The 15643-nt window shown below is 40.8% G+C and overlaps 1 non-coding gene across 1 annotated transcript; it reads left to right on the top strand.

The window, feature by feature from the left end:
- Nucleotides 1-432: 432 nt before the first annotated feature.
- On the top strand, nucleotides 433-539 carry LOC124901835 (small nucleolar RNA U13). Its single transcript, XR_007060671.1, has one exon. It is a non-coding gene; the product is annotated as a small nucleolar RNA U13 (small nucleolar RNA).
- The last annotated feature ends 15104 nt before the right edge of the window (nucleotides 540-15643 follow it).

Raw genomic sequence — 15643 nt, 5'->3', positions numbered from 1 at the left:
TTTTTCTAACTTTTAAATTATATTATCATTGCACAAGTATTTGTTGAACATCTTCCCTGTGAAAGGCTCACCTTGCATAGCTTTTAGTCTAACATTTAATACTCCCAAGAAACATATTTTCTACTCCTACTTTACTCATTGAGGCCGACAGAGGATAAATTACTTGCCCAAAGTCATGGCCAGGATGTGGCTGTGCTGGGTTTCAGACCCAGATCAGTCTCCACTCTTTCCATTGCACCCACTGTTTCCCTTGGTTATAAAGCTGCCCTTGCCTGTAGGCATTTGACATGCTTACTTTTATAAATGAAATGCCAGCATCTAGTCAACATCTAATAAAAAGATTCAGGAAGGAGAGGGTCATTTTTTATATTAGAATGGATTTTTTAAATTTTTTCTTTCTACTTTTACATGTTTCAAAAAAATTTCATCTCCATCCTTTTGTGGTTCAAGAGCGTGATGATTGGGTTTTCACGCTCATGTGTGAGAAGTGCCTCCCTCGAATCTTGTTATGACTCCATGTTGGCAAATTATGTCTGAAGTGAAAAAAAATTTATCTTAGTTTGAGAATGTATTATTTATAAATTGGAAGTTGTGCATTATTTATTTATTTCTACTGAAAGAAGCAGTGCCATGCATAAGGAGATAACAGAGAAACCCAAATTAGGAGATGGGTAGGGAGGGAGCAGTGCAGAGTACGAGGAAAAAAAAAAGCCAGAGATATAAAGTGAGTATAGAGTGAGGCAGCTTAGCGGAAAAGCTCACACGGCCCAATCTTGATGTCCTTTGAAATTTAAAAGACTCAGAAACAGTATCTAGAAAATGCTGATCTAAAGCCACAGGGGCATCCGACCACAAACCACATCTGGGAAATGTCAGAGAAGCAAGGTCCTCAAACCCTGAGTGTAAATGGCTCAACCAAGCAACCCCTGGGCGAGTGAAACTCTGAGTTCACAATACACAGTCATGCTCAAAAGAGTGCCCAGCAGCACGGTTCTGCCCTTCCATGAGGTGGAGAAAGAGCTTTCACTTGTGTCTGTGGCCCTGTCAGCTCCTCCAAGCTTGGATGCAAAGCCGAAGCTGGTAACATGCTGCCCCACCCCCCTATACCCACCAGGCCCAGGGTGACACTAACGCTGCCTCAGAGCGAGGGTGTGTGACCGGCCAAAAGGGGATGACAAAAGTCAACAATCCAGGGGTCCAAACATGAAAACATCCTCCCCTTGTGAAATCTCTGCCTTCTGTTATGTGCCTGAGGATGATCAGAGGCAGCACTTCCACTGCCACTTTGTCAGAGAACATTTCTCAGGGAAGGTCTGCCAGGGCTTTCTGCCAGATGCCTCCTGCTCTGACTGAGGTGGCTCAAGAAGCCATCTCAAGCTAAAGACCTGCCCACAGGGAAGTTAATATGACGTTTTCAACTCCTATTTGATTTCTACTCTATTTCTGTGAGGTCCTTTTCAAACCTATGTGGGTTCATTAAATGCTCCCATAGACCTACGTGAGGAGGAAAAAACTAGTAAGCCAAACAGGCCACGTCATTCTTTCTTCCATAGCTGCCATATCAAAGGGCTGGTGGATGTGGTCATAGTTGCCATTTCCCAGGAGCTGATATCACAGAGGAAAAGAATTTTATTTAAGGCAAAAAAATAAAAAAAAAGCCAGCAAATTTACAATTTTATGTTTCCAGGAAGCAGCAAATGCCAGGGGCTAGATGCAGATAAGATGATCTGAAACTAAAAGTGCAGCAGGGATAGCCTATCTCCCGGTCCATTTCTAAAATTCCATCTACTGATAAAGAATTGTCAGGTGAAGAAAACCTCAGACTTGCACCTGTGCAAAAGGGAAAGGGAGCCAGTAGTCAGACTGAAAATCAGATCAGAAAGTATCAGCAACATTCCAGGAAAAAAGTTGAGAGAAAAAGAAAATGTTACACACACACATACACACACACACACACACACACTGCATCAGGGAGTAGTCCTGCTGGTCAAAACAGATGCATAGCTCTGAGGTATGATTAATCCTTGCTTCTGTAACCTCAGCAACACAAAGGCTGTTTTCCACCCAAACCCTGGAGAGCCTGTCAAAATGAGTTAGACTGGATCTCCTGATCCAGTTCTCCTGTTACACAGTTGAGAAAAGTGACATGCCACAAATGCAGAGTGCTCAGGGCACTGACAAGAGCCCTCCACATGTGGCAGCTTCTGTCCCTGCTCGGTGGCAGTTACAAGCAAACATTTTCATATTTCTAGGAATGCTTCTTACACAGAAGGTGAAATCCATCCCTCTCAACAGTCATGACCCTGAGAAAATGAGCCTAAGCTGTCAGATCCGCCCGTGACCTGAAGTCCATAGGGACTATCTTCGCGCTCTCACTCTGCCCGAGGGTCTCACATGCAGCCTGTCTCTCTTCTTACTCTCTAAGTGATGTTCCTCATAGTAATGACTGTTTCTCAGGAAGAGTCCATTGTCTTCTCTTCTTATTTTCTGTGTGCTTCTCTTCCATCTAGCTCACTTTCCCATAGTAGACGCACTACAGGAAAGCAGTAGTATGAAAAAACACCTCACCACAACACAGCGTTTCCCCAAGACGGGGTTATCCAAGAGCACAGGGAGGGCCCACAACAGAGGAGATATCGTTTTAAAATTGTACCTGTGTTAATTCAAATAGGCCTATCACGGGGTCTGAAATTCTACCATTAATGATGATTTCTAGAATACAACAGAGTCAAATGTGCCCTTATAAAATAAAATACTACAAATAGAAAACACTGAAAGTAGTTATTAGTGCAAAGCAATTAATTTTCTCAGCTATTGGATGACTGTGTGGGAATCTGATAGAGGAAAGAACAGGCTAGACATTGGAGACCCGGAAGGGTGGGAGGTAGGGAGGAGGTGAGGGATGAGAAAGTACTTCATAGGTAAAATGTACATTTGATTCAGGTGATGGATACACTGAATGCCCAGACCTCACGACTGTGCAATATATTCGTGTAACAAAACTGCACTTGTATCCTTTAACTTAATACAAATAATTTTTTTTTAAGAACAAAAAAACACTCTTAGAACTTCTACAGCAACCCAGGAAATCCCTGCTCCAGCCCAGCTCTTCCCAACTGTTCTGCCCTGGTGCTCGGGGGTTCATGAGATGAGGCTGAAAGTACCCTGATAGGCAGCATCAGCTTTGCATAGGTTTTATGCTTAAATACAACACTAAACTCTCCTCAGCCTGGCAGGCCTATTGTTGCTCATCACTGGCCTTTAGCTCCTGGCCATTTCCCAGTTAAAATCAGTAGTGCCCTTCCTGGAAAACTTCATTTTCCTTCCAGCCACTCCCTGACAAATATCTTTTATCTCCTTTCTCTCTCTCCTGCCTTCCTCCCTCCTCTCCCCTCCTTCCTTCTACTAACCATTCTCCAAACTTCCTCTCCTTTATTAGGCAGAAATGGGATGAGTTACACCATCAAACATACCACATGAAGCATCGTCTCAAATGGATTTCCAGTGAATTAAGAAAAACTTGGATATAATATTTCTTGTATTTCCACTGAGCTCATAAAAGCCCAGGTTTTAGTCTGAAAACATTGCAGATAGTAAGACAGTTGGAACTGAACTGACTGCCTAAGGATTGCACCGAGCTCTGCCAGTACGGGCACAGGGTGGAAAATGCATGCACTTCAGAGGCTGCTGGCCTAGGGAGTCAGAAACAACTGGACTCAAATCCCAGCTCCACCTTAATAGCTATACAACTTTGGAGAAGTTGTTCAGTCTTTCTGAACCTCAGTTTTCTCATCTCTAAAATGGAATAACAATTCTTCAGAGTTGTACTAAATGAGTCAATAAACGTAAAAGAATATATTAAATGAATGTAAATAGAGTCTTTTAAAAAAAAATTGCTTTCCTCTCTTCTTCCTGGTCAAGGTATCATTGGTTTCTTTTGATTTTGAGAGCAGAGAGCTGGTCCCAGTTCCATTTTTATAATCCTGGGACTTCAATCAAAAGTATGTGGCTTCTTATACTGGCACTGGATACCTTGGGCTGTAGTAAGATGAAACCAATGTCAAATAAAGGACATGGTTTCATCAGATGAAAACTCCTGCTCAAGCTCCATATCACACCTCTCCCTATCTTTACTTCTTTAAAAAAAAAAAAAAAAAAAAAAGGTCTATTTCAACGAATAAAACCAGCCTAAAATCACCTCCTCTCTAAAGCTATGTTTGATCCATTCTTCCCACTGATTGATTCATTCAAAACTAGCATCCCTCTATATATACAAAAGATTGGTTCCAGCCCCTCTACCCCTGCCAACCTCATATATACCAAAATTCTCACATACTCAAGTCCCACCGTTGGCCCTGTGGAGCCCGAGTACAGAAAAAAAACAGCCTGCAGCCATAAAAAAGAATGAGATCTACCAGGTGCAGTGGCTCACACCTGTAATCCCAGCTCTTTGGGAGGCTGAGGTGGGCAGATTGCCTGAGGTCTGGAGTTCGAGACCAGTCTAGCCAACATGGTGAAACCCCATCTCTACTAAAAATCCAAAAATTTAGCCAGGCGTGGTGGCATGCACCCGTAATCCAGCTACTTGAGAGGCTGAGGCAGGGGAATTGCTTGAGGCAGGGAGGTGGAGGTTGCAGTGAGCTGAGATCGTGCCACTGCACTCCAGCTTGGGCAACAGAGTGAGACTCCATCACACACAAAAAAAGAAAGAATGAGATTGTGTCCTTTGCAGGGACATGGATAAAGCTGGAGGCCATTATATTTAGCAAATTAACACAGGAACAGAAAACCAAATACCACATGTTCTCACAAGTGGGAGCTAAATGATAAGAACACATGGACACATAGAGGGGAACAACACACACTGGCATCTTTCAGAGAGTGGAGGTTGGGGGAAGGAGAGGATCAGGAAAAATAACTAATGGATACTAGGCTTAATACCTGGGTGTTGAAATAATCCATACCCCCAAAAAAAAACCCATAACACAAGTTTACCTATATAGTAACAAACCTGCACTTGTCCTCCTGAACTTAAAAGTTAAATAAAATAAATAAAAAGAAAAAAGAAGCCATCCATATTCTTGGGTTTTGAGATGAAGAGTTTATGGATGCTTATATTCAAGCATAGTATCTACTTTTTTTAATTCCATGAATACTGTCTTCCATCTGCATGTGGTTGAAAAAAATCCATGTAGAAGCGGACCCACACTGTTGAAATCCATGTTGTTCAAGGGTCAACTGTAATTGAATGCCCTCTGTCCCTATTAGACAATGTGGATTAAATGGTGAGAAAAAAAGAGAGACATGAGCCCTGCCTTTCAGGAGTAATTACACATTTACAGATAGATCTCTTCCACTAGACTCCAGAGTCAGGGCCCAGCATTCTATATTCCAAGCTTGGCATACAGTGGTCAAAGAAAAATTCTGAATGAATGAATGATTGGTTGATTTCAACATTTCATGAAAGTCGTGCTTTTCTAAAAAGGAGAAATCAGATCTGGTTTAACTATGTTTTTACTTTTAAAAATCAGTATCTTTATTTCTGGTACATTTTTAGTTGATTGGCTTCCATCTTAGTCTACTTAGGCTGCAATAACTAAATACCACAGGGATTTATTTCTCACAGCTCTGGAGGCTGAGAAATACAAAATCAAAGTCCCAGCCAATTCAGACTCTTTCTGTTTTACAGATAGATGCATTCTTTCTTGCTGTATCCTCGCATATGGACAGACAGAGCTCTGGCTTCTCCTTTTCTTCTTATCAGGACACTAATTCCATCATAGGGGCCCCACCCTCATGATCTCATCTAAACTTAATTACCTTCCAAAGGCCCCATGGCCAAATGCCATCACATTGGGGGTTGCAGCTCCAACATATGAATTTGAGGAAACTTAGACATTCAGTACATAACAGCTACAATCTTTCTTTACACAACACAGGGAAACTAGAAGTTTCCAGGGGAGATTTTCAAACAATAATTAGTTTGTTTAAAATAAATTTTAAAAGAAAAGAGAGGTTTCCAGGGACAAAAACTATGTTTCATGGAAAAATCAGAGCCAGGAGTGGTGGATTCTGACACTAGCTCTGCAACAAGCTATGTTAGACTTTGGTCAAGTTACTTTACTTCCTTATTCCTGAAAGAGGAGCTGGACTGATGATCCTTGGGCTCCTCTCCAGTTCTGCCATGCTAGGGTTCTCATGGGTATCTACCCTTAAAGATTATTTTTTAATTTGAGGGTCCCTATTGTTACCTTTCCTCACTAATCTCTGATACAAATTGAAAAGAATCCCACAAACAATAATGATGGCTGTTTTCATTCAAGATGGCCCCATCCATCAGGGAAACAACAGCCCTCCACTCCCCCCACCCCACCCACATGTGTTACCACCAACATGTGTTGCCACCCCACCAACATGTGTTTAGTTGGAAAGAAAAAAACAGAAACCAAATCGAAGCTCTTTCAGAAGGTACTTTGAACTAGAAAAAAATACCTAATTCCACTTATATAGGAGATACTTCTTAAGAGTTTACAGATGCTTATATTCAAGCATAGTATCTATTTTTTTAACTCAACACCAAAACCATACAACTCAATTTTTAAAAAGACTGAGACTGATGTAGTGCTGTAATTGACATACACTTTTTTTATTTTGAATTCTGCAAATGTGTAATTGCAGTCAAGAAAAATATACCCACAGAATCTTCAAAGAACAGAAAGCCCCTGGTTGAAGACCTACTACATAAAATATTCATGTTACTAGTTCAGGTTTCCTCTCTGTGTTTCTCCAAGATAGCCTTAATCTCAACTGGAGATTTTAATAGAGGTAGATTGGCAATAAAAATTAAAAGGACTCCTCTCTGTCCCCCTGCTGTTTTCTATTAGCAAAGTGCATTACATCGTATTATTTTCCAATGTTTACTTAAAAGAGCTAATAAATATTAGATGGATACCTCAGCTAACAAGAATGGTGACCACAAAATATTGAACAGCTGAAGATTAGAATTTGAACAAAAAAAGTTTACATAAGCCATACTTCCGTGCATGTAGGCATCCCAGCCCCCATTGATTACAGTATATACTGTGAAATCACATAGGAAAGCAAAGCAGATTTATTCTCTTTTGCATTGAACCCTACAGTTATTTCCTTTTTGCTGGTAGATTGTGACTCTGAAGTTATAAGTGTGAACTGTGAAATCAATAATAAAATTACAAATCAGCAGGCAAAGTGCATATCAATAAAATTGTCCATTCTTGAGCATCTACCACCTGGCAGACCCAGGGCCAGAACCTTGCACATGCACTGCCTCATACAAGTCTCACAGCACTGTAAAAAGGCAGCATTATCTCCATTTTACAGGTGAGAGATCTAAGAGAGGTCAGGCAACTTCTCCAAGGTCACACAGTTGGTAAATAATAGACACCCAGTTCTGGTGGATTCCTAAACTCATATTTGCCCCTGTAAACTATGAACAGGGAACACAGGTGCCATCGAAGACACTGAGGGATAGAAAGACACCCTCTCCTATGGATTGAATTGTGCCCCTTCAAAATTCATATAGTGAAGGCCCAACATGATTGTATTTGGAGATAGGGCCTCTTTGGAGGTAATTAAGATTAAATGAGGTCGTGGGGTGGGGCTCTAACCCAATAGGATCAGCGTCCTAATAAGGAAAACCAGAGTTTCCTCTCTTATCTCTTCAGGGAACCCACAAAGAAGAGGTCATGTGGGCACACAGTGAGATGGCAGAAGATTACACACTTGAATTGTGGCTAGTGAAACTGAGATTGCTGTTAAGTGTAAACACTAGAGTTCAGTCTTGGTATTAAAAAAAGAATATAAAATACTTTATTAATAATATTTATATTGATTACATGTTAAAATAATTTTTTTTTTTTTTGAGAAGGAGTCTCGCTCTGTCGCCCAGGCTGGAGTGCAGTGGTGCGATTTCGGCTCACTGCAAGCTCCACCTCCCAGGTTCACACCATTCTCCTGCCTCAGCCTCCCAAGTAGCTGGGACTACAGGCAACCACCACCATGCCCGGCTAATTTTTTGTATTTTTAGTAGAGACGGGGTTTCACTGTATTAGCCAGGATGGTCTCGATCTCCTGACCTCGTGATCTGCCCACCTCAGCCTCCCAAAGTGCTGGGATTACAGGCGTGAGCCACCGCGCCCGGCCTAAAATAATATTTTTAATATATGAGGTTAAATAAAATGTATTATTATATTTAGTTTCACCTATTTTTTTTAATGTAGCTACTAGAAAATTTAGAATTACATATGTGGCTCCCATTATATGCAGATTGGACAGCACTAATCGAGAATACATAGTTAACAGGAAGAAAAATAGATTTCAGAATGACCTAAGTACAGAAGCTCCTCTATTTATAAGCAGATCAGATTCTGAAAGGCTGGTTCTAAGTCCATGTGTTGTGACTTCTAAGTGAGGTTGTCAATTGGTCCTCCTGGAAACAGATGCCAAGAAGGTGTTAGAAATACAAAAGATGTATTGGACATAATGCCAGCGAAAGATAAAAGAAAACCTTCAGTCTATGATGTAGGGCTGAGTCCTATACAAGGAGAAGGGAGGGGAAAGAGAAGAGGGTAGCAGGAGGCTCAGACTACAGTGCAGCTCTTAGGAAATTCTGGCCAGCCCAGTAGGGAGCTCTGGCAAGCCCTTTCATCACTCCTGATGCTGCCTGGAAATCAGATGGACAAAACTCTAAATCTGAATCAGATATTGAAGGCATCTGCAACTACGGGCTATCAACTTACTGCACTCCTTGTGGCCAGTTCTCTTAAAGAGAGATCTGATAGGCACACCTCCACAGTCACCACAATGAGCAAGTGGGCTTTCACTTTGCACTCCTCGGATATTTTCCAATAAATAGGAAATATCTGCCCCATCCCCAAAATTTCCTGTCTCAATATACCTCCATTCATCCAGTGGGTTGTTACTCTGACTAAAAACTAGGAGTCATCTCTGATTCCTTTCCTTTGCCCGCACTAATCATCTTCAGTAAGTCCTGTCCCCACTGCATTCAAAATGTATCCTGAATCTTACCAATACCACCTTCATCACAGTAACTCTAGTTCAAGTCATTTTCTCTCTCACTTGAGTTACTCAGTAAACTCCTAATTGGTTACTTATTTTAATGCTTGAAATCAACAGTCTGTTCTCCACAGAATAGCCAGAGCAATATTTTTAAACCATAGATAAGATTATGTCACTTCTCTACTTAAAATCCCCCAGTGTCCTCCTGAATGACATAAAATTCAGACTCCGTGCCATCTAATACCTTGCCACATTACCAGGGAGCTCGTTAGAAAGACATCATCTTGGACCCCACCCCAGACCTAAAGAATCAGAGGAGAGCCCCAGATGACTGATGTGCACATGCAAGTTTGAGAAGCATCCTCTCCTACCAACCCCGTCCTCAGTCATTACACATTAGCCACATGATCCCCCAGCTGTTCCTTGAACACACTAAGTACGTCCTATCTCTAGGCCCTTCCACTTGCTGTTCCTCCTGCTTGGAATACTCTTCCCCAAGATCTTCACACTCCTATTTACTGTCATCATTCAGTTCTTTTCTCAAATGTTACCTGCTCAAAGAAAATGTCTCTAATTACCCAAAATAATCCTCCCTCCATCTCAAGACATACTGTATCCCCTTTATCTGCTTTATTTTTTTCATGATATCTATAAGCACCTGAAATTTTTGTCTACTTATGTATTGCCTGTCTCTCACATTAGGATGTAAGCTCCATATGAGTAACAACTTATTTTGTTCACTGTTATAATCCTGGTGCTTTAAAAGGTGATTGGGACGTGGTAGGTGCTTAATTAATATTATTTGAATGAATTAGTAAAAAACTGAGTGCAGGCCAGGCTTGGTGGCTCATACCTGGAACTCCCAACACTTTGGGAGGCCAAGGCGGGAGGATTGCTTGAGCCCAGTAGTTCAAGGCCAGCCTGGGCAACATGGAAAGATCCCATCTCTACAAAAAAAATACAAAAATTAGGGGGGCAAGGTGATGCACACCTGTAGCCCCAGCTAATCAGGAGGCTGAGATGGGAGGATCACTTGAGCCCAGGAGGTCAAGGCTGCAGTGAGCTTTGTTTGTGCCCCTGCATTCCAGCCTGGGCAACAGAGCAAGACCCTGTCTCAAAAGAAAATAAGAAAGAAGGAAGGAAGGAGAAAAGAAGGGAAGAAAGAAGGAAAATGAGTGCATATGTGAATGTGCCTCTCTTTACTACGGATATGTGCTTTGTCAAAAATGTGGAAAATTGTTGAAACAAGTTTCTGCCTAATCTTTTTTTTTTTTTTTTTTTTTTGAGACTCACTCATGGAGTCTTACTCTGCCGCCCAGGCTGGAGTGCAGTGGCGCAATCTCAGCTCGCTGCAACCTCTGCCTCCCGGGTTCAAGTGATTTTCCTGCTTCAGTCTCCCGAGTAGCTGGGATTACAGGCATGCACTACCACACCTGGCTAATTTTTGTATTTTCAGTAGAGGTGGGGCTTCACCATGTTGGCCAGGCTGGTCTCAAACTCCTGACCTCAAGTGATCACCCGCCTCAGCCTCCCAAAGTGCTATCATCTGCCTAGTCTTTAACTATCTCTGCGAATGTAGTATACGATGCCTTAGCCACTATAGAACCCAAATTTTTCATTTCACTACTCACTTTAATAGACAGTATATCCAAAAAGGCTTTAAATCTATGGGATAATTCATGATTTATGAGGCTAAAGTCTCAGAAGAACTGTTATATGTTGAGCCTCTAAATTCCTCAACAAAATCCCAGCCTTCACCTGATTTAATATTATGCTAATATGCATCCAACATGGATGTTGGCCTCTGGTCACAGGTAAGTTTTTCCATTTTTCCAGCCCTTAATGATTATTTTATTATTGAACAGTATTATAGCTGAAAATCTTAAAGACACAAAAGGCCTTACAGTGAAAAGGCCTTCTCCTTCCCAATTTTGTCCTCCCTATTGCCCTCCCCAACTGCACCTAATGCTACCTATTTCTCATAGAGATATTCTACACATATAAAAGAGAATCTTTTTGTATATATTTTTATTCTTTTTCTTACAGAAATGATAATATATTATTAATGTTCTGCATCTTGATCTTGCTTAGCTTAACAAATTAACATGAAGGCTATTCAATATCAATACATAAAGAGCATCCTTGTTTTTTCAGATGTTCGTAGTTTTCATCATATGGATCTATCATCATTATTTATCTGGTCCCCTTTTGTTGGGCAATTTGTTTGTTTGTAGGCTTTTTATCTATTACAGAGAAAGCCACAGTGAATAGCTTTGTGCATGAATTATTTCATACAGGCCTACTTACCTACTTTTGTCCACTGCACAGGCATGACATTTGTATGTTGCAGAATTTGTTCTTGGACCTTCAAAATCAATCCTACCATTAAACAGTAATCTTATGTACCTCTTTTCTTACCATTTCATTATTTTTCTTCTTTGCTTTCATCTTCACCCTAATTGCATTCCTCTATTAACTAGAACTGTCAACATTCTTTCTGTTTTGCACTTAAGAAACATGACAGCCAGGTGTGGTGGCTCATGCCTGTAATCCCAGCACTTTGGGAAGCCAAGGCAGGTGGATCGCCAGAGATCAGGAGTTCAAGACCAGGCTGGGCAACGTGGGGAAACCCCGTCTCTACTAAAATACAAAAATTAGCCAGGCATGGTGGCGTGCGCCTGTAATTCCAGCTACTGGGGAGGCTGAGGTAGGAGAATCGCTTGAACCTGGGAGACAGAGATTGCAGTAAGCTGAGTCACACCATTGCACTCCATCCTGGGCAACAAGAGTGAAACTAGGAAGGAAGGGAGGAAGGAAGGAAGGAAGGAAGGAAGGAAGGAAGGAAGGAAGGAAGGAAGGAAGGAGCGAGCTAATAATATTCATATTCAACTTCAAAACCAGGTAAAAAGACCAGCACACATGCTGAACACTGATAAGTAATGTAGTGACTACACACAACAACTGCTTCATCATCTATCTGTTGAAGGAGGTCATGGATTATATACTTTGGCTCTGGAGTGCAGCTATGTTCCTAATCTGTGATATTCAAGTAAAACTATGGGTAAAGGAGCTTCTATAGCAATAATAAGGACCACATCTTCTTCATAGTAAAGCCCCTAAATTCTCAGAGCCTGTCTATGATTGGTTTATAGGCAACTCTAATGAGTAACATTCTCTGAGTTTTCTCACCAGAAAATTAAGAGTAGCATGTAATAAAGCTAGAATCATACACTGATAACAGCCAGAAGTGATGCTTTACAGCGAAGGTGAAGCATCTAAACCATGAAAACATAAAATAACTCTAAGACCATTTACTATAGAAGAAATAGCCCTATGCAAGTAAAATGCTCCTGAGGGTGCTACTTACCATATTATAGCGCAGTAGCTGATGAACCAGAGACACTAAGACACTAAATTATGCTTACTCTTTTCAAGAAGGCACAAAAAAACAGCATGAACAACGAAACACAAAACACAAAACAAGAAACACAAAAGTATTTTGTCTACTTCCAAAAAATAGAAAATACCTTGAGAAGGCTTTTCATATTATATTATTTCATTCAATCACCAATCACTTTGGATAGACATTATAGTTCTCATGTTATAGACATGATTCAGAGAACTTAATGATTCCAACGTCCTCACTTTTTACCACAATAGCACACTGATATGGTTTGGATCTGTGTCCCCGCCCAAATCTCATGATCAATTGTAATCCCCAGTGTTGGAGGTGGGACCTGGTGAGAGGTGATTGGATCAGGGAAGCAGTTTCTTATGGTTTAACACTGCCCCCCTTGGTGCTGTCATCACGATAGCGAGTTCTCACAAAATCTGGCTGTTTAAAAGTGTATGGCACTTCCCTCCACCTTCCTCCTGCTCTGGGCATGTGGGGTGCTTGCTCCCTGATTCCCTTTCGCCATGATTGTAAGTTTCCTGAGGCCTCCTTAGAAGCTGAACAGATGCCAGCATCATGCTTCCTATACAGCCTGCAGAACCATGAGCTAATTAAATCTCTTTTTTAAATAAATCACTTAGTCTCAGGTATTTCTTCATAGCAGCATGAGAATACAAAAAATTGATACTGAACAGTGGAGCACTGCTGTAAAGATACCTGAAAAGGTGAACGTGGCTTTGCAACTGGACAACAGGCAGAAGTTGGAAGAGTGTGGAGGTCTTAGAAGACAGGAAGATGAGGGGAAATTTGGAACTTACTACAGACTTGTTATAATAAATTGTCGTGACCAAGATGCTGATAGTGATATGGACAATGAAGTCCAGGCTGAGGAGGTCACAGATGAAAAAACAATAGATTTTGGAGGGGACAGGGCAGAATAATACGGTTTGGATCTGTGTCCCCACTCAAATCTCATGTTAAATTGTAGTCCCCAATGTTGGAGGTGGGCCTGGTGGAAGGTGACTGTATCATGGGGGTGGATCCTTCATGAATAGTTTAGCACCATCTTCTTGGTGCTGTTCTTGTGACAGTGAGTGAGTTTTCCAAGATCTGGTTGTTTAAAAGTGTGTGGCACTTCCAACCCTGCCCCCCTTCCTCCTGCTCTGGCCATGTGAGATGCTCACTCCTCCCTTGCTTTCTGCCATGAATGTAAGTTTCCTGAGGCCTCTCCAGACTCTGAGCAGATGCCACCATCATGCTTCCTGTACAGTCTGCAGAACCATGAGACTATTAAACTTCTTCTCTTTATAAATCACCCAGTCTCAGGTATTTCTTTAGAGCAGTGCAAGAACAGACTAATACACATACATTGTCTCTCTTGCCATGCTCACTGCTACATTGTGGATGAAACTGCTATGAATTGACCCAGGAACTTAAATCCCTGTTTATAACACCATTTCTGTGGGGAAAATGGTGACCCTGGTCAAATAACCTACACGCGAACTTTAAAAGCCCAGCTTATTCACCCCTTGTGTTCCTCCTGTGGTACATTTGTTACTCCTTAAAGATCTACCTAGCACAATGCAGGTAAAAGAAAAGGCTCCACAAATAAGGGTTTATAGCTACTTTCCCATGTCTTATTACCATCCATTTACTGCCATGTTACTATCCATTTAAACTCCTGTTTGGGGCAGATCCTTATAATTTTCTAATATTTGGTGTAAATGTTCTTTTTATGGACATAAGATATCTTCATCAACTATGTGTTATATATACAATGGATAAAAGCATTTTCTTTCTTAGATTTACTGGCAGAAGTTTTTCACCTAAAATAGTGTCAGACACACAGTAAATGCTTTAACGATTGCCAATCAGTGAACGCATAAATTAATGAGTATACAGTGTGGCTTACAAAAGGCAACTCAACTTTGGCAAACTGGTTAGCATGGGAGATCAGAATCTGGACATAGACCAATTCACTGAAAATCAATTCACTGAATGGGCAATTTGTCAACGTTATGCCCAAACTGAAACAAATTGTTGAATTAACCATCTGACAAATTAATCATTTGGTAAACAGATGTTGACAAACTAGTTAATAGATAAATTGGCCACTTGAAAAATCAGCCACTGTTTTTAAAGCACTTCTTGAGCAACAACTGAGGCTTGCCTTTTAAAAGCAGGGATTTAGCCTGGACTGCCTCTGTGGAAATGTCCATCTGATCAAGGATATATCAAAGTCCATCTATTTAAGTTCTCCTCTCCTCCACCTAGATGACCCTTCTCTTCCCTATTTTGTGTTCTTCCACTCCTCTAGCTACTGCCTCCTGTCATAATTAATCTCCCATTCTCTTATCTCTAGTATATGCCTCCATCATTCCTGTCAGGTCTACACCTCTGGGCACAAAATGTTGAATGTTTATGTCCTTTCTGCTGTCACTTCTACTTACCCTAGTTCTGCCAAAACCCACCTTCTACATTGTGAATTTTTTGAGGCAAACATCTGTAGAGAGGGAAAAAAAAGTATGTCTCAATAAAATGCTACGCATTGTCCAGAGGATATACCTCCAGGTCATCTGATTCTAGCCTTTCATTCCTGAGTACTGTCTGCATACATCACACTGTGCTAGATTATCTGATTCTAGCCTTGTTCATTATCTTTGAGTTGTTTTCCAACTATGTATAAGTATGTCTACTCTTTGAATTCTCTTCCAACTAGTTATAACATCTGCCTAGTCCCTTCATTGAATGAGCTAAGTAAAGTCTTCAACACATGTTCATTTTCATATCTGTATAAGAATCATTTTACCCTTTTTTGAAAATTATCTTTTAACACATTCCTTTTTCCTACAGCCTACTTATATTTGCACAGTATTAAGAGCATTATCACAGTCTATAGTCTTGAATTACAAGCCAGGGTACCTTGGCTCACTGGTGACCTTTGACCAATTGCTCCCAGTGCTTATGGTTTCTTCTTTGCCTTCATTTTTATTATAATTTATTATAATGAAAATATTTACAAATAGTTGACTCTCTTAGCTATTTTTAAAAGCTTTATTGACATATAATTTATACACCATACAGTGTACCATCTAATGGTTTTTAGCATAGAGCTGTATAACCACAGATACAAATCAATTTTAGTACATTCTCCTCACTCCAAAAAGAAACCCCATATGGATTAGCAATAAT

Source organism: Homo sapiens, chromosome 7, assembly GCF_000001405.40.
Source record: "Homo sapiens chromosome 7, GRCh38.p14 Primary Assembly".
Taxonomy (NCBI): Eukaryota; Metazoa; Chordata; class Mammalia; order Primates; family Hominidae; genus Homo; species Homo sapiens.
Note: the sequence above shows the minus strand (reverse complement) of the source record. Positions and strands in the feature narration are given on the sequence as shown.